This window comes from Homo sapiens, chromosome 15, assembly GCF_000001405.40.
Source record: "Homo sapiens chromosome 15, GRCh38.p14 Primary Assembly".
Taxonomy (NCBI): Eukaryota; Metazoa; Chordata; class Mammalia; order Primates; family Hominidae; genus Homo; species Homo sapiens.
This window is the reverse complement of record NC_000015.10, coordinates 66,134,127-66,159,419: the sequence shown is the minus strand read 5'-3', so window position 1 is coordinate 66,159,419 and position 25,293 is coordinate 66,134,127. Positions and strand designations below refer to the sequence as shown.

Sequence of the window (25,293 nt, the reverse complement as noted above, 5' to 3'; positions counted from 1 at the left end):
TAGGAATGGGTCATTCATTTCTGGAGGTTCTTGGTCTTTCCCTGACCTCTGTGGCTCCTGGGTACAGGTCTGCAGTAGAGGAGGGGAAGGAAAATATTTCAAGATGGGCACAGTGGGTGCCACCACAGCCAGACGCTGGCCATCAAGTGGAAGACAAGGCCCTCTGGGCATTGTGTGAGTTCTACTACATGGACTTCAAGCAAATTTCTTAAACTCCCTGAGCCTCAGTTTTCTCATCTAGAAAGTGGAGGCAGCAATAACTGTGAGACAATTGTTTGAAATCAAATGAGATCATGGTCGTGAAAACATCCTGTGAACCTGACAGACTTAGAATCATTATTACTCAAGCTAAGTTCAGGAACGTGGAAGGTCTAGAGGAAGATCAACTCTCAAAGCAAAAATTAGAACCTCATTGAGACATAGGTGTAAACAACAGCTTAAAATGTTGTCCCTTTAAGAGTAAGGACATTTTAAAAGAGGTGCAATTTCAGCTCGTCTAAAGACACAGAGTTTAGAAGCTACTGCATGGAGGACTTTGAGATATTAAGCGGAGACTGGATGCTGGTTGTCTGGCCTGTTTTAAAATGTGGGTTCATGTGGATGCTATGGAAACAGGCCTTGGAAGGGGGAGGCTTCAGGTACCCAAAGGTGAAGGAGATATTTGAGAGCCGGTGATTTTTCTGCTGTTTACCATGCTGGGACTGTTGAAGCCTATGCTTCCCTAGCCTGGCTACTCATTAGGATTCTGGAGAAGCTTTCAAAAATCCTGCTTCCCAGGCCCCACGCTTGGAGATTCCCATCAGTGGGGCTGAGTGGGGGCCCAGGAACCCTGGATCCTCCATGCAACCCCAGATGATTCTGATGTGCAGCCAGGTTTGGGGCCCCGGAGGGGTGCACAGGGCTGTCTGTGCCTAAGGCAAGCAGGCATTTCTGGGACCTGGCACCACCAGCTCTGTTCCCAGCCCAAGGGGCAGAGCAGGCAGCCTCTGAGGAAGTTGGGCTGAGGCTGAGTCCACACGGTTCCATCTGATGGGAAGAGGGGGTTGTGAGCTGGTGAAGCCTTCCTTTTGAATAGGAGAATTTTTAAATGGTTGACTACTGTTAAACCAAATTGCATTAGCTTTCCACACGAAGCTCCTGACTGTCCACTCTGCACACAGGAAGAGGAATTCCTGTGGGTGATGCCAGCTCAGGATTTGCAGGTGTCCTCAGCAGTGCTTCTGGCTAGAGGGGTGAAAATGATTTTAAACATTTAGTCCCTTTTCCAGCAATTTTTTTTTATTATCTAAAATGAATCTGGGAATCTGCAGCCACATACATTTTCAGCCCATTTGCAAGTCATTCACGCAAGTGAACATTTCATCCGACAAATGGGAAAAGCTATGTCTCACCCGGAGAACAAAACATTTCAAGGGGCAACAGCGGGAGGTACATTCATGGATTAATTTAAAATAAAATCCTGTGCCTGTGTTCCTATTACCACCTCAGAGGTTGGCACGTATATTCAACCTTACACCCCTCTTTCATTTAAAATTAAAAAAAATACTTTGCAACAAAACTTTAACCTTCCCTTTAGAAATCAGCCCAAAAGGTCAGAGCTGTGCTCCTGTAGATTTCCTGGGCTCAGCTGGGAACTGATTAAAGCTGCTGGCTTTGGCTTGTCAGCTTTGTCATAGACAACTATATACACTCTTTGTTATTCCCTTTGCTTCATATTATAAATATATTTATCTTCCTCTGTCAGGCGTCTGCAGGACAGGTGCTAGGGGGCTGGGAGTCCTGCTTAAATGCTTCTAACAATGTCCCCTCTTAATGACATTAGTGCAGGAGAAAGGGACGAAGATGGCAGGAGATTCTGGACCCAGGGCTGCTGTGGGGCTAAAGAGAATACCTGGCACAAAGCCTTGTACATAGTAGGTGCCCTTCTCTCCACCCCCAGATTTGATTCCTGTGTGATCAGCAATGGGATTGTTGTGATCCAGGGGTGGGATCTTGTAGCTGCCGTGACATGGGGTGTGTGGGATGATGGCAGGTCAGGACCTTGCACTCCCTTGCTCACTTTGACTAATTAGAACAGAGCTGATTTGTTTTCTTATCAAAGGATGAATAGCACCCTGCTAGCTGTGATCAGGAAAGCAGAGCATGGGTGGAATGGCTCCCTTGGGAGTGAGGAGGGAGGCTGGCTACGTTTGCCCGTGGAGATGTCACTAGACATGGCCTAGGTACTGTTGTCCGTGTGGGGTTGTCAATACCACATATGTTCTGATCCAGGAGCTGTTAGCTGCTGGCACGTCTCTGGTCCCATTTATTCTCTAAAACCTGTAAGGCGTTGGTCCCATTTCCACAGCTGGAGAGTCATAAGCCTCAAGGGTTTAGGAGGAGTGGTGGTCTGGTTGAGTCCGGGCTTCCCCACAAAGCATGGTCAGTGAAGAAGAGAGAGCTTTGGTGGGTGGCTGCTCATATTGGAGGCACCTGACTCAGGGTTCCAAGGCCGGTGGGAAGGGACAGGTTGGGGTTTAGGGGGTTCTGCCTGGCTCTGTGACCTGGGGAAGTTCATTTCCTCTTGCGTTGCTCTGTTCTCTCAGTACAGAGGAAATTGGACTGTGATGATAAAGTCCTCTCATCTTAGACACCACCCAGAGGTGGTATAGGTCCACCCAGAGATGGTGCAGCTGTGAGTTCACCAGACTAGGGAGGACTTGAATTGCCTGCTTTAGTGTCTAGCCCTGGTTAACGAAGGCAGAAGGAACTGGAAGGGGGCACGGACAGGGTGCACAGCCACAGAGGAAAGAAGGCTCCAAACCAAGGGGCTGGCAGGAGTCTTGACTCAGGGAGCAGCATCTTCTCCCTCCTCTCGGGGGCCGGGCTCTGCCGTGTCCTGACACAGGGAGTGGTGGCCGAGCACAGGGCCACCACTGGATCCCCAGCTGTGGCTGTCTTTAAGAACAGGCCTGGGACGTGCAAGGTGAGGCTGCCTGGAGTGGTCAAGTGGGACCGATGACCCACCAGGTGCTGGTGGCTTGAATTTTGAAATTTGGACCTCTCTGTGGAGGCCATGCTGGTGAGAAGGGGGACTGATGTTTAATCATGAACATTCCATGGAGTACAGTAGAACCAAGGTGTGGAAAGGTGGTGGGAGCTATCAGAACCAGCCAGGGGTAGGGGAGATCCCAGCAGTGCAGGTGTCTGGGCCATGCCTGGACATTCACTTCCAGGCTGCTGTGAGAGGACCCATGTGCTGGGCAGGAAGTTGGTTCGGGGGCCTCTGACCCTCCTTCCAACCTGGAGACTTTGGGACTCCAGGCCACATTGGCTGAGGGGATCAGATGTGTCCCCAAGTGCAGGTGTGGCCATCGAGACCCTTTGATTCATCCATACTTCCTTCCCTGAAGACCAACTCAGCAGCTTCCCCACAGGGTCCCAGATGGGAAGCAGCAAATCCCAGGCTGATGGGTCGGTGGGTCTGTGCCACTTGAGGACCATCACCCGCTCCCACCACATGCCTGGAAAAGGGGTAAGGGTGGAAACAAGACCCATGAGTAAGTGATTACTCTAATCCAGGTGATAGCTGGCGTGGCCAGGAGCGGGCTGCAGCAGTGGAGTGGGGAAGAAGAACACAGACTTGGGCTCCACCTTCAAGGTTGAGCTGACAGAATTTCCTGAGGGTTGGGATGAGGGAGGTGAGATAAAGAGAAAAATCAAGGCTAAGTTTCTTGGCCCAAGTCACTGAAATTGGAGAGGTTGAAAGAGGGACAGGCTTATGGGGGAGATCAGGTTTGGGTCATGTTAAATCGAGGTTTCTATTAGACTTCCACATGGAGAGATTGAGTAGGACGCTGGAAACATGAGTCTGGAGCTCTGGACAAAGCCCAACCTGAATGATAAGTTTGGGAGTGGTCCCTGTATAATAGAAGCTATTTAAGGCCGGGAGACTGGAGGAAGTCAGCAAGGGAGTGCCTACCTGAGCCCTTCACCTCTGTGTGCACCCCATCCTAAATTTGGGGTGTGTTTTCTTCCCAGGCTCAGAGAACCCGGTCTCTTAGGGTTCACCCGGCCTCTTTCCTGCCCCACTCTCCCCGCCCTCACTCTGAGGCAAATTCTACAGCCGAGGGCTCTCCCTCCTGTCTTGCCTCTGAGCCCTTACCCCATAGCGGGGGGTGGGGGGCATCACCATGTGTGTCTCCCAACCCACCTGATTACTGCACAGGGGGTGACCTTGCAACACTGAGGCACAGAGCCAGGACAGCCAGAACTGACCAGGAAGTCAGGGGCCAGGGTCTCATTCAGGACCTGCTCATAAATCACACAGTGACCTTGAGCAGCCTCAGTTTCCACATTTGTCAACTGAAGACTTGGCCAACAGCATCTGAATATGATCCCTTCCAACTCTGACATCCTGACTCTGTGATTCTAATTTGGCCTTCAGTTTCCCCTGAAGGGAATCTTGTTGGCTCTCAGAGAGCTTGATGGTTCCTTGGGGAAAACCTGCTAGAGAAACCAGGGTAGGAAGGCGCATGTGTGAAGGTTGTGCAAATATTGAAACACTTGAATATTGGTTGGAACATAGCTGCCTCCCTGCCACCTGGGCCCTTCCCTTCCCCCACTGAGACCCCACCAAGGTTCATCAACTGAAAAGGTTACCTCCTGGCCCAACAGGGGTGGCTGGTTGGTTCCTTTGCCCCCCTAGTTGTTAAAGATTTTGACTACCACCCAGGTGTGTGCGTCTTTCTCTGGCAGGTCTCCAACAGACAGACGGCATTTTAGAAGTGTCTCTGTCTTGCACGTCCCTCCAGCACTTTGCCTTTCATTCTAGGAAAATAAATACAATCCCAGTAAATAAAAGTTAATAACTGCATCTTTATGATGGTGTGTTGAAGGCATCTAATGTTGGAATCACTGTTAAATCCCTGGATTATTTATAACCCAGATGTTGACAGATGCTGGATTGGGTATTTGAGCCCCCGGGTTTTTCCTTCCCTCTCTGCTCCGAAGAGCCCATGTGCTGATTAATTTCGCAGCCCCTTGGCTCTTGCGGGGCAAGTACTCTTTGCTGCAGATCCCAGAAGAGATGGCTGAGAGCTGGGCCGACTTCAGTACAGCAGAATGGAGTGTGGGCGAGCGCGAGGTTGGGGAGGGAGAATGGAGTGAAGCAACAGTTCAGGTGTTAAACTACTGATGTGGAAAATTGCTCTGACAGTTATGATGTTGTTGTTTCGGGTAGCAAGGGTTACACTATCATTTACTCCAGCCACACCTGCTGGCACTGCTGGGCTGCCTGTCTCACGCAAAGCTGCTCATTGGTGGGTGTCAGAGAAGGGTTTTTTTTGTTTGTTTTTGCCTGTCTTTGGAGAAGCAGACCACTGAGGGGCTAGTGGCAGCCCAGCTGCAAGGGTGGCCATGCTCGGGGAGCTGTGCAGTGCCCCCCTGCAGCTGTTGATACCCGTCACCAGGGCCCAGATTGGAACCCAGAGCCAGCCAGTGGGGGGATGAGGGGAGCTGCATTTGGGGAGGGCCCACTGTTGCCCAGGTGCTTAATATGCACGAGCCCGTGTGACCCTGTCTGCCTCCCTGCCAGGTAAGATGACTGAGGCTCAGAGAAGCAGCAGAGTGCCCGGGGAGTAGAGTGGGAAGACAGACCCAAAGCTGGACCCAGGTTCCTGATTCTAAAGCCACAGACCCTATCACTTGCCATGCTCTGGGTGCCTCCTGCTAAGAAGTGACTTCTCTGTGTCTGGGCGCACCTGGGTGTCAGGTATGAGGGCCAAAGGGAGCAGGAAGTGCTTCTTTGGATCACATCATGAGTCAGATCTGCTTTCTTTCTTTTCTTTCTTTTTCTTTTTCTTTTTTGAGATGGAGTCTCGCTCTGTTGCCCAGGTTGGAGTGCAGTGGCATGATCTCGGCTCACTGCAACCTCTGCCTCCCTGGTTCAAGCGATTCTCCTCTCTCAGCCTCCCGAGTAGCTGGGACTATAGGTGCCCACCACCATGCCCGGCTAATTTTTGTATTTTTAGTAGAGACGAGACTTCACCATGTTGGCCAGGATGGTCTTGATCTCCTGACCTCGTGATCCTCTCACCTCGGCCTCCCAAAGTGCTGGGATTACAGGTGTGAGCCACCGCGCCTGGCCCAGAACTGCTTTCTTTCATGGGCGTTGGGTAAGCCATGGAGAGCTTGCCTTGAGATGGGACCAGCCCATCCACTAAAGAGCTTTTGTTGATCACCTGTTTGGCTCCAAGTGAGCTCTGTTAGTGCTGTGGGGAGTGTGGGAGCCACAGAAACCAGGGCCCTTTGTGAGAAGTTTAGAGACTGGGTGGGAAGCAAAAAGGACTGAGTGTGGAAGGATGGTGTGTCCATTAAAGGCTCTCCATTGGGGGACAGAAGGTGGGGCTGGAGGTGTTGGAGCAGGGTCCTGGAGGAGAAGGGAAGGAGCGGAGAGCAGGGGAGAGGGCTGTCAAGGCGGGACCGGCATGGCAGTACACACAAGGCCCAGGAGGGCTGCATGTGAGCAAGCGGTGGCTTCGGCGGGGAGGGGCAGCCTCCTTCAGCCTGGATACCCTCCCATGCCCGGTCCTGGGGCCATGTCCTGGGCTCTGGGTCACCACTGCCAATTGGGCAGGCTGGCCTCAGGAAGCGTGCTGGCCACCCACTGCCATCCGGCCATGTGCATCCACAGGCCACAGTGGGAGGACAGCAGGGGGAGAGTCTCATGTGCCCCTCGCTCTGCATTCTCCTGTCAAGGAAGGGGAGGTTTCAGACCAGTGCTTCTCTCCACAGAGATCTTATCCACATAATGGTCCAGAGAGAAGCATGGTCACATCCCCCACTGGGCCAAGGGATGAAGGTTTCAGGGGACAAACCCTGTCCTACCCACAGGACCCCTGGCAAGGCCTTTCAGATATCAGGGGTCAGATATCAAGGGTCAGCCTATGCTTCTGGATAAGCGAGTTGCAGAATAATTTCTGTTTATCTGCCTAGAAGGTGATGCTGAGAGGTGACTTACACCGCAAAGTCCCGAATCAGTGAGAGGAAGGGTGAGGAGGAGGGGGGAGTCTGGGATCCATGCCCAGTTCCTTCATGAGCTGCTCATACCCTTTATCTTTGTCTCTGAAAACCAGGGACCCTCTTTCTTGCCCTTCCTACCCTCTGAGGGCACTAGGGATGCATTGAGGGAAAGGTGAGACTTGAGACCAAGGTGGGTTCATATTCATAAGTGGGGACACCGAGACACTACCTCTCCATCCCTGGTGACAGGCCCATGTTTCCTGGAGAAGCTGGCAGTGCCCATGAGGGGCTGAGAGCTGGAAGAGCAGGTGGGCAAGGTGGTGCTAGAGCTCCTGGAATGAAAACCCAGGAAGTAGGAGGAGAGGCGCCGAGGCTGGGGCCTTGGAACCTGGAGCTGGGCAGGTGGGAGGGGTGAAGGGCGGTGCTGCTGCATCTGCCTGCACACCCTGCCCCCCGCCCCATGGCAGGCCATTGTGCCACTCAATGCCTATGATTGCTTTCAGGCTGGGAGCCAGGCACTGATGAAGAGCATCTGGGCAGCAGCCGGGTGGGGAGGGAGCCAGCCCTGCTCCCCTTCTTATCCTACCCTCCCAGGGTCAGCGGTCTGTCTTGCTGCGAACGGAGCTGGGAGCTTGTTTCTGGCTCCCAGGAAGAAGGGGGAAGTGGGTCTGGGGCTCCCTGGGGATGACCCTCCCACAGCTACTGGGAGCTCTTGTCTGCTGGAAACAAGAGTCAACCAGAGCTAATGACCTGTTCTTCCTGGGAGAAGTCTTTGCTCTAGGAAGCAGGAAGGGAAACTGAGGACTCCTTAGAAGATCAGGAGACTGGGATTTCTCCTATCATTTCAGAATCTAGGGATATCAGCCTGGAAGGAGATGTAGGGATTGTCTGGTGTGGTGAGCTTCCTTGACAGATTAAGAAACCCAGGCCCAGAGATGGGGAGGGATCTGTCCGTGACTGGTGGCAGAGTGGAACTTGGAGCCAGTGTCCCAACCCCACACTCAGGGTTCTCTCCCTCATCCCCACCTTCCCTTGGGTGCACTGTCTAAATTCCCCCCGAGGTGGCTCAGCCCCACGTGGCTCAGGGAGAAGGCAGGGATCGTTTGTGTGTGCCGAGGAAGAAGGTTGTGTTGGTCCTCTCTTTGCTCTGTCCTCCCTTCTGGTCTAGGGAGGAGTCTGAGGGGCAGGAGACATTTCTGGGGACTTTGGTCAGGGCTTTGTGGCTTTCCGCATGCAGCCTGTGTTTTAGGGTTAGGGTTAGGGGGTGTCTCAGCTGGTCAGGACACTCCTCTCCTACTCAGGGAATTCCAAGTAGTTCAAAGGTGGGAGGTGGGACACTCCTGAAATATTCTGAATGCATTTAGAGGCAAAAAGGGGACCTCCCCAGCCCTTGTCCCTTGACATTCCTTCCTTGCCCCTTGAATCCTTCTCACCTTCTAGAGAGCTCAGCAGGGTGATCCTGGTGGCAAGGGGATGGGATGATTGTCTGAGACCTGAGTTTTCACCCTTAGTCACTGACAAGGGGTGTGGCCTTGGAAAATTCTTTCCTCTCTCTCTCTCTCTCTCTCTCTCTCTCTCTCTCTCTCTCTCTCTCGACAGGGCATTGCTCTATTGCCCAGGCTGGAGTGCAGTGGTGTGATCTTTCCTCTCTTTAGACCTCAATTTCCCCATTTGAAAAAAGAGGTGGTTGGACTAGATAATGATTCAAAGACTGTTCTTGCCCTCATATGCTAAAATTCTAACAGATTCCCAGGTGAACCCCTTCCTTTCTTCCTTCCTTCCTTCCTTCCTTCCTTCCTTCCACTAATAAGTCTTTCTAACATGCCTACTATGTGTAAGTCACCCTTTCCTTAAGGGATAGGCCTGCTTGCCCATGGACAGGGAGGGTGGGCTTACTGCAGTTAATGTCATCACAATTGGGGGAAAAAGCCCCACTCCCAGGCTCTGCGACTCCTCAAAGAATATTAATTACTCTCCAAGGAAGTCTTCATTCTGAGTAGTTCCCTTTCTCCGGTAATTAATATTACATGTCATTAACAGTCAGGGAACATTGTATGATCAAAGACAGCATAATTCCTAGCAAGATTCTGAGGAATAGCACAATATTTGTTAATTGTGTTATTGATTCTTATGGTCTGGAATGCCCTAATTATTCCTGATCCCAACTGGACCCCACCATGCCCGCCAGGCTGGCTTTGAACTGCCGTTCTCCCCTGGGTGGCCTGGCTCCCTGCTCGGGGGCTGGAGGGACCACAGCTTTCAAAGGGATCAGAGAAGCTTTGTCTCCCCAGAGCCACATGAAAGGGGGAGCCGGCTGGGATGTGGGGGCTGCTTCTCCCAGGCTCCCGCCACAGCTCTGACTCAGTCAAAGAGTGAAATGTAGCATCTCGCTTTAATTAGCCAGATGCTGTTAACGGACAGCTCGAGGGGTCCAGCAGGCACTGCTTCCAGGGAGCAATGGGATGGGCGTTCTTCTAGGCCCAAGGCCACTTGCTGCTTCTGAAGAGCCCAGTGCTGAGTGATGCTCCAGTGAGGTCTGGTGGGGCTGGGAAGCCCTGGTGTGGCCATCATCAGGAGTGTCTCAGGTGAACCTCCCCACTGGGCTCTAAAACTGCTAAGTGGATGGTGTATTTCTATCAGTGGCATAATTATTAAATGATGCTTGTTTCTTAATCGGCTGTATTTATGAGTGGGCCAGGCTCCCTCCCTCTTTTTGTTGAATCCTGCAATTAACCTTTGTAACTGCATGACAGTCAGCTTCTCACTCAGTACATTTTGTCTGAACCCCAGTGGGTTGTATTCTGCGTGATGCTGATGGAGATGGGGGAAGAGTGAGGTCTGTCCAGCTCAGAGCTCAGGAAGGTAACTGCTGGGGAGGTGGAGGGGGGTGTGACAGTGGAAAGATAGGCTGAAGAGATCCATGGACACCACCACCAATAATAGTTAGAAATACCTCTTCCCCAGGCTAGGCTGATTACCTATATTGATTCATTCAGTTCTCATAAGAACCCCTTGAAGTAGGTTCTGTTAACATTCCCACTTTGCAGGTGGAAACCAAGGGTTGGAGAGATCAAGTGACGGTCAAGGCCACAAGGAAGGCAGAATCAGAAACCAAGCCCATCTAGACTGTCTGGGGTTATGACTCGCCATGCCACAGAGGACTTTTCCTCTATGTGGCTTTTGGAACGCATCTGGAGAGTTTATGATTCTTCCAGTAGAGGCTCCCTGTCACTAGATCTCCAGGGCGCCTGGGCCTGTGGCCGTGGTTGTGCAGGAAAGGAAGATGAGGGGCCAGAAAGGATCATTGAGTGGGAGCCAGGGGCAAAGGGCGAGCAGGAGGCTGGAGGTGCTCCTGCCGGGCGCAGACCCTTGACTCCATCCCGTCCTGGGTGTCTGCCCTGCCTCCTCTTGTCTGGTCTTTTCAGCATCTCCTTACAGCTCTGGAGACTGAGGCCCCAAATGGTGAGGTGGTTGGCTTGTTAAAAGTCCTCTTACTATTCAATGGCAGAGCCATGTCCAGGAATCAGCCATTTGGGGGACCCTAGGGGAGTGAAGTGGTGGGACAGACGGTTCCTGCCTTAAGCAGCCTCTGCTCTAACAGGAACATCAGACCTCAGAACTCCAGTGGGAAGGGAAGACGACCAGGGACCCCGCACCAGACCTACCCACTCCCTCTCCACCCTCAACCCTGTGCTTGTCAACAGCTGGGCCAGGACAGATGTGGAGAGACTGCCCAGGCTGATAGAGAGGGGGCACTGGCTGGGCAGGCAAGAGGTGGGCAAGAACACAGTGACCAAAGAGCCTGTGCAACCCAATTGCTACTCAGCCTCTGAGGTGGATGTGGGGTTGGCTGGAGTGTCAGGTCATTTGACCACAGAGGGACCTGGGGCCCCAGGCCCACTGTGGCAACCTCCTGTCGTTCTTCCTGCCCCAGCCCCATCCTGTCTGATCCCTCTTTCCTCATCTCAGCCAGTGGGAGAGTGCTGACTTTTCTTTCTCCTAACTGCTTTTGATATTCTGGGGCCATTGCCAAAGGAGCCTGGGAAGGGGCACTGGCCAGAGAACAGGGCAGATAAGACCTGAAGGTCTCTGCGTAAATAATCTCACCTAAGTGGGATTGTCTCAAGCTCATTTTTCAGTTCAATCTTTTAAATGTTTTTTTTTCCTAGTTTGCCTCTCTCCTTTCTTTTCCCTACATCACATCATTACCCCCTGCCCACTCAGGGAGTCCCTGCCAACATTTTGCCATGTATCCTTTGTATCATATAACTAAGAGCCATATACAGACACACACATGCACGCGTGTACACATTTATAGGCAATTATTGGCTTCGTAAATACAGGACTGTACTAGATGGCTTCGGCCTTTTCCCCCTCTCCGGTACCTCCTGGCAGTCCCTCCAAGTCAGCCAATATTGCTCCCATGCATTCTTCCTATGCATGGCTCCCATGCATGGCTCCAAATCGTCCATGGTGTGAATGTCCATCATTAAAACATCATTCCCCTATTAATGAGCATTCACTTTTTTCCACTTAAAAATTATTTTTAATCAGAAAAGGACCTTTTGAAAACACAACTCTGGCCAGATTGGTCCCTTGCTTAAAACCTTTGAATGGCTGCCCATTTATCTCAGAACAGTCCTGGCTCACAAGGTGTGTTGTGTTCTGGGGCTGAGCCCCCCTCCAGCTCAGAAGGCACCACCTGCTTCCTCAAACTCTGTTCCTAGAGTTCCTAGGTGAGAAAGAGCCACTTCTGCTGCCTCGGTGCACCTGCTCTTTCTCACCTCCAGGCCTTGGCACCCACTCTGCCCGGAGCACTGTTGCCCTACCTGGTTAGCACATCTGCCTCCTTCAGGTCTCAGCATGTGTGCCCCTTCCTCTGGCCAGTGTTCCCTCCCAGCAACCGTGGCAATGGCCTTGAAGTCTAGGTCTCCAAAGGGAGGAGACCAAACCACAGGGTCTGTGGTTTTCTGGTAATGTTATTCTCTTTCCCGTTAGAATATGACTTGACGTGTTACATGTGCAGGGCCTTGCCTGACGCCTGGCACTTAGTAGGTACTTCTGTCTTGAGTGAATGACTGGATGAAGGGCATGGCTTTACTCCCTGGGAGGAGGCTGGCAAGGGCCCTGGGCTGCGCAACCATGTAAGGTGCCATTTGGGGAGGGGTCATGAGTCAGAATTTAGGAGGAGGGACTAGGGTGGGAGCCAGATTGATATGGACTGGGCTTCTGTGGGAGGTGGTGGTTTAGGGACAACAACAGTTAGACTGGGGCTTTGGAGCATGTGACATGCCTGAGGCTCACTTTTGGGTGTCAGTGGCAGCAGAAGAGACTCAGGAGACAATCCAGGGACCTAGCGGCTACAATTGGGCTACCGTTTATCCCCAATTCCCAGTGAGGAATGGTGTCCACATTATGCCTGCCTTGGAGAGAATGGCTTCAGGAGTGGTACTGAGTGAGCAAGTGGGGGCATTATGGGAACCTGTAGGAAGCAGTAAGATAAAACAAAGGCAGAGGAGATGGGCAAAGAGCAGGTACAAGGGTGAGGCAATAAGACACCCCCCTGAGAAGGTGCCTACCTTCACCAACAATGCAGACAATGCAGGACCCAGGCCGAGGACCCCGTTTTGTCCCTCTGCCCCCACTGCCTTCCAGCTACTCGGCGTGTGCCTCCGTGGACTGATGCCAGCGCACAGGCCGCTGTCCACAGTGAGATCGGGACAGAATTGAGAGAGAGTCCTTAGACACTTCATGACAACTTGACACGGATCCAACATCCAAGCCTGTGCTCAGCGGGGTCCCCACACTGATCAGGATAGAGGCCTCTGTGGGAGGTGTCGGCGTGCGTGGTGAGTCACACGTGGCAGAGCCACGGGAAGGCATGCACCAATCCGTGTCTTATTGGGAATGAAAAACAACTCGTTCCAGATGATGAGGCCATCCCATCCAAACGGTGGCCTTTGGTTTATCTCCATCTCTCCTGGGAACTTCAGTTAGACATCTGTAGGAATTAAAAGTTGTAGTCTGCTGACACTGTTGTCTAGAAGAAATGTAGACTCTTCCTGTGAGGTCTCGGGAGAGAGAGTCCCTTGCAGCCGGGAGAGGGGAGGCAAACCATGGCATCTAGAACAGCCTTCCCGCTGGAGGTGAATGAGGATAATTCCCTGAACATGTATCATTTAGTATACATTTCAAAGCACTTTCGCTTGCGTTATCTTTTTGATCTTTACAACCACCCTAGAGGTAGATCAGAGCAGGAATTATCATCCTCACTTTGTAGAACGGGCAGTGAAGGATCAGAGAAGTTAAGTCAATTTCCCAAAATCACCCAGCAAATTAAAAACCCAAAAAGGATATGACACAACACCCAGGGGCTTTTCTGGGTGGCTGTGAAGAGAGGTTTAAGGAAACTGAAGGAAGCAGCAGTGTAAACAGTAGCTTCTGTTTACTGTGCGCCCAACGGTAATAGCAGCTACCTTTGGTGAGTTTTTACAATGTTCCAGATACCGTGTGTAATTATCTCATTTAATTTTCACAATGGATACAATTGCTATCTCCATTTGCAGGTGAGGAAACAGATCCCCCGCAAGATTAAGTCATTTGTCCGGAGTCACTCAGCTAGTAATTAGCAGAGCTGGTTTGTGGTTCAGACCAGCTCTGACTCCAGAGCACATTTCCTTAACCACAACATGGAGCCAGATGCCTCCCTCACAGGGTCCTGCCAAGGACCCAGCAAAGTGTGTGTGCTCATCCCCATCTCCGTTATTTGAGCCTTGCCTTTCTGGCACATATTGTAGCCTCTCACAGCCACAAGCTTCGGCCCAGCCCCCTACCCTTCCAGATATGCAGGTGTGAGGCTGGGGATGGCACCCAGGTCCTAGTCTATGCACCTTCCCTCTCTCTCCCTGTAGTAAGAACTCCAAAGCCAAATGCATCCAGTTCAGCACCTGGCTATAGCTAATTATTAATGTCCGAGCTGCTGGCAGCTCCTCGTTATGTCATGTCTCACAGAAGATTTATGGCCACTTTGTAAGTGGCTTTGAAATGAGACAAAACCCAATATTGAATTTTTTTTTTTTACCTCCTTTTCCCTTTGGGTTTTAGGGCATATGATATCAGCTTCCTCCCCATTAGCATATTTCTAATGAGTGCTTATTAAGGTGAATTTCATTGCAGCTCACAGAGTTATCATTAGAAGAGGGAGAGGGAGGGAGAACAGACACCATCAGATGTGGAGACCTCGAGGCTCTGGGGCTTGGGCCTGCTCTCAGCTCAGGCCTCTGCTAAGTGAGTTCTGCTCTCCTATCCTTGCAGGAGGGTCTGGCTGCTTTTCACTGTGGGACTGGAGAGAAGGACTTGGGCAGGTATTCTACAGCAGGGCTGTCCGGGAATTCTGGATCGGCGCCTGCTCTGCCATCACTCCTCTTTGAGCCTCATTCCCCTAATCTGTATAATGGGGCTTACAGTGGATAAGCTCTATGGGGAGAAACAGTGTCTACTTCATTCACTGTTGTATCTTCAGTGCCTGGCATATCAGAGGCACTCAGTACATAATGGCTGAGGAGATAGATAGGGAGAGAGAAGGATGAACAGGTTTGTCTCTACAGATAGGATCTGCCATGGATGCTACGGCACCTGCCTGCAGAGGTGCAGGTAAAGGTTTGTTCATTGACAGTCTATGGTTGGGCTCAGGTGGTGGTGGTTGGTGCCCAGGGCACTTGTACCAGCCCCGGGGTGGCTGGGGGAGCTATGAACCTCTCTGCCCTGTGCCTGTTGCTGTATAGCTGCTAAGGGGAGGGGTCAGTGGGCATTCCTGTTAGAGTGATGTCGCCTTTCCCTTTCACCTGGGCCTAGCTGGCCTTTTGGATGTAACAGGCAACTTCACTAATGGCTTAGAGGGCCCATATTTCTGCCACCCACTGACACTTTGATGGGTTGGGGGACACTTGTGATTCCAGGGAAGAACTAGGATATTGGCAGGAAGGGGGTACCCATGCTGGGTACCTGTGCTGTGGGGTGGGAAGGGAGAAAGAGACGAAGAAAGAACAAGGTCATCCCCTTGGTGGGCTTTCCTGTTGATGCCCTTGCTCTCAGGGAGCTCCTGGTGGGTGGTTCTCCATCTTGGCTGCTCATTGGAATCACCTGGGGGAGCTTTTGGACAACACCGATGCCCAGCTCCACCCACACCTAGTTGACCCCTCCCACCTCGTTGGCTGGGAATGAGGTCACAGCATTGAGAGTTGAAAAATGTTCGTCAGGCCATTCTAATGCGCAGCCAGGGTGGGCATAGTGGCTTAGTGTCCGTGTGTGCTGGGAGCAGGAACGAGATGTTCCCTCCAGAAGGAGTGTCTCCCCCTCCCTATATCCCCACCTGGAGCCTCTGCCCTGAGCTCTCTGATGGGGGAGCTTTGATTTCTGCCTTTGTAGCTCCTCCTGGACAGAGGAGGACCCGGAGGAAAGGCTGAGGTGCCTCTTGCCCCCTCTGTCCCCTCCTGGTCCCCACTCTGCCACTGAAACTTCCTACCCTCCTGAGTCCCACCTCGGGGTCCTCATCTGTAACAGGCTCTTCTGGGATCAAAGGACACGGTGAATGAGGGTGAGCTTTGTTAAAAGCTCACTAGGAGGTAAGGAATGGTCTCTGCCAAAGTCCCCTGAGTCCTGGGGAGACAGGGCTGGTGAAAACAGTTTCTGAGGGCCCAGGAAAGCAGGTAGAGAGAATAGAATAGGATCAGGCTGTGACTTCCCAGCAGAGGTCCCTGGAGAGAAGAAAGTCAACTTCCGGAAGCTTTCCTGAGGCATCTCGCTCTGCCTCTGTCATTAGTTGCCTCCTCTGTGCACATCTTTGTAGGAGGAAAGTAAATACCTGTAAGAAAGCCTGAAGGAGGTGCCAGGGAGAGAGCCTGGCCAGCTGCTGGGCAGCCAGCCCTTCTGTCTGCACCCGAGAAGCACCCCATGGGACAGGGGCTTGGTGAATGGGCTGGACAGGGAGTAGACTGAGGGGCTGGTGGATTCCGGGGCCTAATCCAGCATGCTCCAAAGGGAATCTCATCCCCTGTCCGCAGGCTGCCTCGGCCTGGCCTAGCCCCCACCGGAGGTGCTGCTCAGGGCCTCCTTTCCCTTTCTTGGGAGCATGGTGGAGTGGGATGAGTGCTGGATTTGGGGTTAGCTCTGCTATGATCAGCTGTGTGACCTTCGGCAAGTCTCTTCCCACCACCACCGTCTTCAGTTCCCTCTCGCAAATGCAGGAACTTGTTCACTGATTCATTGATCCAATCATAGATTAGTTATCGAATGTTTATTGATATCCGCACTGTGGCAGGTGCTGAGAGCACTAGGACGCACCCCTCCCTGCTCATGTCTGCTCTTGCTTGGAATCACTGTAGAACTTTCCAGAGCTGCAAGAGACCTGAACTAGGATCCTGATTTGGCTTTCAAACTGCAGGACTGTCAGTCAACCTCCTTTTACAAATGGGGAAGCTAAGGCCTAGAGAAGCTGTTAAGGTTCTTCTGTTAGTCCCATGGCTGGTGGATGCTGCTGGAAAACTCAAACTCAGGCCTTCAGGCCCATGTCCTCTTCTCAAGCGAGACCACCTGCTTGAGAAGTGATTCTAGCTCCTTCTCATCAAAGAACAGCCCAGAGAGGTGCAGTGACTCATTTGGGGTCACACAGCTGATTACTGGCACACCTGGGGCAAGAGACCCACTTCTGTGCTTTTTTGTCCCCGGCCTGTTTCTCCTGGCACTTGGCTGGGGGCTCAGCTCAGGCCGTCCTCAGACTCAGTCTCATCAGCAGATGCTGTCCCCTCACAGGGCCTCCCTGTGGCAGCTGCGCCAGGCTGGCGGTCGTGCCGGCTCACTCACTCTTCCCACGCTTACTCACTGAGACATATATATGCACAGCTCTACCATTTGGCTTTAGTGATTGCTCCACAGTGGGTGAAATTGGCTTGAAATAAATATCTCCTCTGCCTTCCTCCCTCGGGGTGATTTTATCCTCATCTCCACTTTGTGGAATGGTCCAGAGTCTGGCGGGCGCCTGTTCTGTCTAGATATGTCCTTTTTGATGCAAAGATGTTGCCACGGCTACTGCTGTTTCTTGAGAGCCGTGCAGAAGTGGTAGCAGAATTCCACAACTTGCTGTCCCTTCCCAGTTCCCATCGCGGGGGCTCCATGAGCAAAGCCTAAAATTAAGGAGGTCTAGGAGTGCTCTCACTTTTTAAGCTGTTAGAGTATTTTCTGGATGGAGCCCAGAATAGGATGGGGCATTGCTTATACCTGGGGTACAAACCACTGTTCTGCCTTGCTGGGGAACTGGCCTGTTGTGTAATAAAATAAACTCCACATCCTCTAAGGTAGGGGAGGCGCAGGGGGATCATGTGCTTAATTCTTGATCCCCAAGCTCACCTTTCCTATTCAGATCTCTTGCCAGTTATTGCCGCCGATCCCCCCACCGACCCAACACACACAATGCTTGCCCTAAGGGTGGGGAGTGAGGAGTAGGGCTTATCCCCTTTTGAGGCCTATCCCCAGTCTCTCCCTAGATTCCTCAAAGCACAGCTGAGGCACAATCGGCTCATTTAAAGATGATGTTAGGCCAAGGGATGACAGGAGGGAAATACACACAGGATATTGTGACCTAACATGGTTCAGGAGGTCTGGCATCCTCATCTGCAGCCCATCTCCTGAGGTCAGAGCCAAAGGGACCTTCGGGGCCACCTAGTTCCTTCTCAGCCAGGTTCAGGAGAGAATCCTGCCCTCAGGCCCTAATGTGACCACTGCATGTAGCAGATTGACTTTTCTCTTGTGCATCTAGGATGTACCATCCTTGGGAGAACTGAGAAAATTGTCCATTAATCCTCTTCTGGGTGCTGTGGTTCAGGTGGGAGAAACCCTGGCTGACAGAGGCTTCCTCTCAGCTAACAGAGGACAATGAAGCACCAAGCAGGCAGCCTCCTACCCAAGGTCACACAGCCAGCCCAAGCTTGTCTTCTGAGTTCCAAGCCAGTCGTCTTCTCTTTTCTCACAATAGCATTAACATCCTCCCCTCCGCTGCTCCAATCTCGTGAGCATGGAGGAAGCTCTGATCCAAAGAGATGAGCCTATCCCTGTCTCTCTCTCTCTCTCTCTCACACACACACACACACACACACACACACACACACACACACACACACACACACACACCCCTGAGTCTGCAGGACAGAGACATCCCAGAAGCTTGGCATTGGACAAGCCGGTAGTCCTGAATTTGTGTCTAGGTCATCCACGTGAGCCTGCATTTCGCCACCTGCAAGAGGAGATCATAATGCCTACTTGATGGAGTTACTGGAAGGACTGAAACTGGCCATGTACCAAGGCTGGCACCTGGCACAGTACAAGGTCTTGGGAACCATCCATTTTTCTTTTGCCCTGGTGCTCAGTAAGGTGCACAGTGGCTGATGAGTGAACAGCACACTCAATGTTCAACCGAGTCTACATCTAGGTTCTAATCCAACAGGGAATATTCACAGAGTATTCTTAGTAAGGGCTCGCAAGTCCCCGAATATGGCATTAGTACCCAATACCCGGCTGAGCTCAGACTTCCAGGCCCGCTTCCTGCCAGCTGTGCACACCCAGGCCCACAGATGCCTGCTCTCCCAAGCCTGCCAGGCTGGCCTCCCACCGGCCTCACTCCCCACCCCTATTCCTTTTTCTTTCTCCTCTTTCCCTCTTCGCACAGCCAAACATACCTGTGTCAGAGGCCTCCCATGGCTTAGCAAGCTTCTGGCTTGCCTCCCGTTCTTCCTACCCTATTGAGTCCCTGTATGTATTACGGCAAATTTAGAAATTTGTGGGCACGCCACAGAATTAGAACACTGGGGAAGCATGGTTTGGACTTGGTGCAAGCGTCCTGCCTTCTACATAGGGTGATTCAGTGTATTGAGGGTTAGTACCTCATGGGCCCAGGCCTGCCTGAGGAGGGAACAGAAAGCAACTGAGAGAAGCTGGAGTCAGGCGGGAAACCTGCCCCTGCCTCCATTTTGCCTCCAGGAATAAGGAATGGGTGGTTCACATTTCTGAATTTCCTACTGAGTTGGAAGGTATGCAGAAAAAACCTTTCTGTAGTTTCAACACCTGTTACCAAAACGCTTTTGCAATTGTGCCCTTTTCCTTTCCTGCCCAGGGAAGTGGAGTATGATGAATAGGATCAAATTTCTCTGGATTTATCAGGATTTTGTGTGACTTCAGGATCATTGTTCCTAAAGGCCTGTCCTTGTTCAGGAGTGGGTATGAAGGGAGGGAAATTAAGCTGAATAAGTTATCAGAAGCTAGCCCTAAAAGCTGCTTTTCAGGAGAGGGGAAGAAAAAACCGCACTGGCTTTGGTTGAAATGCGCCGGTGAGGACTGAGCCTGACTGGCACCGGGGAGTGTGATCGGCTGTTTTGGCCACCTTTCAATTAACTGAAGGCTCCAGTTAATTGGGGTTTGGCTACATTTTCTCTTGACACTGGTGCTCAGGGTGGCCTGTGCCCTGCTGGGCCTGACTTAGTGACATGGCTCAAGTCCCCCTGACTTCCTCCTCATAACCTGCCTTGCCTCTCTGAAGCCTAAATGCCTTGGTCGGCATTCTTCCACGGAACCCTCAGAAGAAACTACGCTGACATGTTAAGCTTTTTAATTTAGCACACACAGTGCGTACATGCCCCCAGACAAAACAGAATTGATTGATAATTCTCTTAATGGAAGCACAGGCTTCAGTTGCTCCAGAAATAGATCGTTACCTCGGCCACCTTTTGTAATTTTCTCCCTCCCATTTTTTTTTTTTTTTATCCTACTGTGGTCTAAAAATATGATGTTTCATTTCATCCTTCTTTCATAATCCACTAAATGCCAGGGCATTTCTTTTCAGACCTTTAATTTATAGCATGTTTGTTCAGTTTCACTTCATTAATTAATGCTCTTCCCAGGCTCCCATGACAGAGTCTTTGTGTAATGCTCTCTTACAGTAAGCAGGTGCTTTTATCCTTAATGAACAATTTCCTGGAAAACACTGAAATACACAACGACTAATCAGGCCAGGCACACAGTGACTCTGGGACTTATGTACCATTTTCCAAATTAAACCTGGGGAGATGAGGGACAGATTTTGATCGGCCACAGTACTGTTTTTTAGTGGGTCTTTCCTTTGGGAGGGCATATAGGGTGCTCAAGTTCTGGAAGGTGGGTGAGCTTCTTGCTCCTCCAGGAAATTAGAGTTCAGAGGAATTGTTTGATTGCAAATGCATGTGGCTGTGAGATGGTTGTCAGACACAGCCTAGGCCAGAAATGCAGCCAAATTGGCCTCTGGTCCAGACTTGGAATCATCACTAGCTTAGACTGCAAGTCAGCAGGGCCTGGGCTGGGCCAAATTGCAAACTTACTGAAATTCACCTTCAGTTCCTTTCTTCCCTTCTGGCAGACTTGCCCCACCCCCGGGAGGCAGTCCTTATCAGGCCCAGGACCCTAATATACTCATTCCCCCTGTGCACCCCCAGTAGTATCTGTACTGCATCCCATACGCCCCATCAGAGAGGACAATGCCAAACCCAGCCATGCTGATATTTTCCCTGGGGCTATGCTGTTCACAGGCCCTTCTCATAACCTGTGTCTCTTTGGCATCTCAACCTTGGGAGTCAGGTTTATTACTAACCCCATTTTGCAGAAGAGGAAGCTGGGAGCCCGGGAGGTTAAATGACCATCCTTAGGCCATGCAGTTGGTAAGAGGCAGAGCTGGGATTAGGACTCAGAAACCTCCTGAGATTCCAGGGCTCCCTGTGCTTGCTGTTCCAGGGAGGAGCAGAGCCAGTGTGAGAGCAGAGGAGGGAGGTGAAGTGCCGGCCGTGACCCGACCGGGCTGCAAGCCAGAAGTTATCAGTGTCATGGACAAAGAGCCTCAATAAATTGCTTTAAAAATCTGAATACCTGACTCATTTATTATTCTGAATACAGCTGACAAAATCGTGCTTTATCCATCTATTTTTCTGTGTCGTGAGATCATTTTGGGTCTTTGAAACGGCATAATGTTTTTCATCATAGCATGAGTATACCATCACAGCGTGGACACATGCCACACCATTGTGATAGCAGTCTCACCGCAGCCAGATGGCTTCAAGGGCTGGCTGGGAGGCTCCCCTAAGTGGCCTGTGTCCCTAGGGGTAGCAGGTTTAGGGCTCAAGTCCTCTGTGAACCCCTGCTCTTTGGGAAAATGTGCCCTAAGGAGCAGAGGGGGAGAATCTGGGCCTGGAGGAGGGTAAGCTGTGGAGGAGTTGCCTGTAGGGCCCTCCCTTTTTTGTTTTCAAAATGAAGGTGGCTTTATTGTGGTTAAAAAAATTTTTTAAGATGGGATCTTGCCATCTCACGCAGGTTGGATCTCACCCAGTGGCACAATCATAGCTCACTGTAGCCTCAAACTCCGAGGCTTAAAACATCCTCTTGCCTCAGCCTCTTGAGTAGCTGGGACTGCAGGCATGCATCACTGTGCCTGGCTGGTTTTTGAAATCTGAAAATTGAGACCTGCTCATACTGAAAATATATAGAGAAGAAAGTAAGTTGGTTAGGCAGAGTGGCTCATGCCTGTAATCCCAGCACTTTGGGAGGCTGAGGCTGGAGGATCACTTGAGTCCAGGAGTTCCAGACCAGTCTGGGCAACAGTGAGACCTCGTCTCTAAGAGAAAAAAAAAAGCCAGGTGTCGTAGTGTGAACCTGTGGTCCCAGCTACTAGGAAGGCTGAGGTGGGAGGCTCTCTTAAGCCCAGGGAGGTCAAAGCTGCAGTGAGCTGTGACCGTGCCACCGCACTCCAGCCTGGATGACAGAGATGCTGTCTCAAAAAAAAAAAAAAAGAAAGAAAGTCACCCAAAATATCATCATCCAGACATCTTTGTTAATGTTTTTAACATACTCCGAGCATCTTCCTGTCCTTCCTCCCTCACTGTTGGCACACGCACACCGTATGCCCGTGCACACACAGTTTATATAAATGTGATCATAATGTTCATGCTGCTTTGTAACCTGCGTTTTTCACATAATAAGACTTTAGGGTCATCTTCCCACGTCGGTGAATTTACACATAATAATCTTAAAATATCTTTGCTTTTCTGACTATAGTGATGATAATGCTCTTTGTAAGAAATACTAATGTAACAAAAATGTTTGACTTAGAAAGCACAAATCTTCCATCCCTTCCCCAAAAGATGACCAATATTATTAATGCTCTGGTGTATGGGCTTCCATACTTTTCCACATCAATATTTTTAATGATTGCATAATAGTTTGTTATATAGACATGGTGGAATTTATTTAGCAAAGGCCCCATTCATGGGCATTTAGGTTGCTTCAGTGCTGTGGCAAGCATCTCTCTTTCTCTCTTTTTTTTTGGAGACAGAGTCTGGCTGTCACCCAGGCTGGAGAGGATGCTCACGTCTCACTGCAGCCTCAGCCTCCTGGGCTCAAGTGATCCTCCCACCTCAACCTCCCTAGTAGTTAGGACTACATGCATAGACCACCATGCCTGGCTATTTTTTTTCCCGTATTGTTTGTAGAGATGGGATCTCATTATGTTGCACAGGCTGGTCTCGAACTCCTAACCTCAAGTGATCTGCCTGCCTTGGCCTCCCAAAGTGCTGGGATTACAGGCCTGAGCCACTGTGCCTGGCTCAAATATTTCTTTATCAAGAGAGAATGCAACAAACGTTCTTGAACCTGTCTTTGGACCCGGCCAGTTTTTAAACATGAAATTGCAGAAATGGAATGCTGGGTTAAAGATATATGTTAAAACATGTTTATCTATATTGACAACCTTTTTTTAGAACATGTGTAGGGCACTTCAAACTTTGAAACAATTGGTTTCTGGCTTCAGAATCCCCTGGCCTAGGTCGGTCGGGAAGGTTCTCTAAGGAAACCTGGAGAGGCTACCCTTGTCTGATGCCCATGTCTGTGGGCTGACAGCCAGGCTCTTCTGTTTATCTCCAGACTCAGGGGGTCTATTGACTGGGGAGACGTGGTCCCTGAGGTGTGGCGGGAGAGACCCTGTCCTAGTGTGGGCTCTTGGCTGGAATGGAGCACACAAAAGAGGCCCATCTTCAAAGGGTGCCGAAGATTGGACAGAGAGGTGGGCAGCAACTAAGGATCCCGACCACGACAGCAATACTGATCTCCGCGTTTCACCACTGGGCTGCAGTTTGCAGGGCACCACCTGCATTACCTGTTTAATCCTCACAAGAAACTGTTGTTCTCTCACCCTTCCTATTTGTAAAAGAGGAAAAGGAGGCTCAGGGCAGTTAAATGAGTTTTCCAGGATCAAAGACTAGAATCCAATTCTGCTGCCTCCTCTGCATTATCTCCCTGCAGCTGGGAGATGGCGCAAACCTGAAGTGCAAGGGTGAAGAGGGAGGAGAAGATGAGGAGGGGAAGGGCAGGGAAGGGTGATACTTCATAGGTAAGCTTACAGAGTTGGAAGGGCCCAAGAGATGATGTAGTCTGACTCCAGCCCTGTGCACCAGCAGAGTGAAACTCAGAGAGGTTAAGCAACCTTTCCTGGGTCACACAGCAAGGTAGTGACTTAGGAGGCAGAGGGGAACTGGTACTGACTTTGAATTCAATAGGAAAGACCCAAGGGCAGGGGAAGTATGGCTCTCTGAGCCCCTACAGGATGGAGTTGGGAGACTGGATGAGCTTGTGAAAGGTTCTCTCCCTTCAGAGGCAGCCCTGATCAAGAGTGGATCCAGAGGCATCTAGAATGGAGATGGGCCAGACTCAACACACAGGGGATCTCCTGGGACATTAGCATCAATACCTGCAAAGGCCTCTGATTTCCCATCACACTGGCCCGAGGCTTCCTGCAGGGAGAGGCCTCTTCCTGCAGGGAGGGGCCTCGGTGCTTTGAATTAAGCCACATCCTGGGTCTACTACCCTCTCCTAGCCATTCCCACCTCCCCTCGAGCAAGTGTTCAGGGGCTTGGGGCAGGGCCCCGCCTGAGTCTTCTCTGTGTCACAGTGACTGATGAGCATTCAATAATGTTTGCTGAGGGGATGGATGAAAGATGAGATCTGCCTTGATAATTGTACAGTTAAGACTGATCCAGGGGTCTCCCAAAACATACAGCCATGCCTAGATTCTCCAGCAGAGTATTTTTCTGTCATTGTCTTTTTTTTTCTTCCAGTTCCTTAGAAATTCTAAAAGTACAGAGTTAGAAGAGTCTTTGAGGTGAAGGATGTGGCTGGGAAGGAAACTAATAGTTCATTGGGTACCATCTATGTGCCAGACCTTGGGCCAACCACGTTACCTGCGTTCTCATTTACTATCTTAACAGCCCTTGAAGTTGGTCTTCCTTAATGTGCAAGACGTGAAACACTCAGCCCTGGAGCAGGTAAATGACTCTACTGGGTTATACAGCCAGGAAGGCAAGGGTAGGATTCGAACCCAAGTCAGGTGGACTCCACCATTCCCTTCACATGAAGACTGCAACCAAGTTTTCGTGTGTCTTTGAGCAAGTCACCTCCCTTTCAGGGAACAGTTTCCCCTCCTAGAGGATGAGGTGTTGGACTCTTTCTGCTCCCAGGTTTTTCTCGGCACCAGTTCTGACACCATGTGGCTTGCTGTCCAGCCCATCATCCTCACAGCTCAGCTCCCGTGAGAGGCTTGGCCTTCCAGGGATTCTCGAGGGCTCCCTCCCTCAGCGCCCTTCTCCCCGCTGGGCCCCTGTAGCTGCACCTTGTTGTTTAAGGAATGTTTTCTTTAAGGGGGCAGGAATGGGGACAAATCCCCATGGAGCTGAAGGGCCCTGGGAGGCTGACTTGTCTTCAGAGGTTTTGTGGATGTCACCATGATTTAATGCAGGGCATGAGGGACACCTACAGTTATGAGAACTCCATAGCCCTGGGAGGAGGTGGGAGAGGGTGGCTGAGAAGGCCAGGAGTGGGCAGATTGCGGGTGGGGAGGGGCCAGGCAGGTGTCCGGGTTGGTCAGGCCAGCTGAATGTGTCCTGATTTGCAAAGAAATGGAAAGATGGAGATAATTGCTTTGTGAGAAATGGAATGGCCTAAGAACATAGATAAGTTTTCTCCCTTCATCTTCGAGGGGCTGGAGGCTGGGGGTGCAGATGCTGCCTGCTTGGGAGTTGGGGCGAGCAGGAGGCGGTTTGAGGGCCCAGAATTCAGAGGCTGTGCCTGTTGTGGGAGGGAGGCTGGCGCTTTATTAGTTTGGCGGTTTCTACTGCTCTGCTCCAGGGTAGGCTGTGATTTTTCTCTGGGCCTGACTGATGTCAGGGCCACTTG

At 51.1% G+C, this 25,293-nt stretch overlaps 1 protein-coding gene across 14 annotated transcripts in view, besides 1 other annotated feature; it reads left to right on the top strand.

Moving 5' to 3' along the window:
- The window catches only part of MEGF11 (multiple EGF like domains 11), a 358,452-nt gene that overhangs the window by 94,331 nt on the left and 238,828 nt on the right, over positions 1 to 25,293 (top strand). The gene's annotated exons all lie outside the window — the stretch shown is intronic.
- Positions 15,535 to 16,425: an enhancer, noted in NCBI's record as "H3K4me1 hESC enhancer chr15:66435333-66436223 (GRCh37/hg19 assembly coordinates)". NCBI's record gives its function as "activates a minimal SCP1, AML or CMV promoter by ChIP-STARR-seq in naive H9 embryonic stem cells {active_cell/tissue: H9 hESC(naive)}" and the evidence as "EXISTENCE:reporter gene assay evidence [ECO:0000049][PMID:30033119]".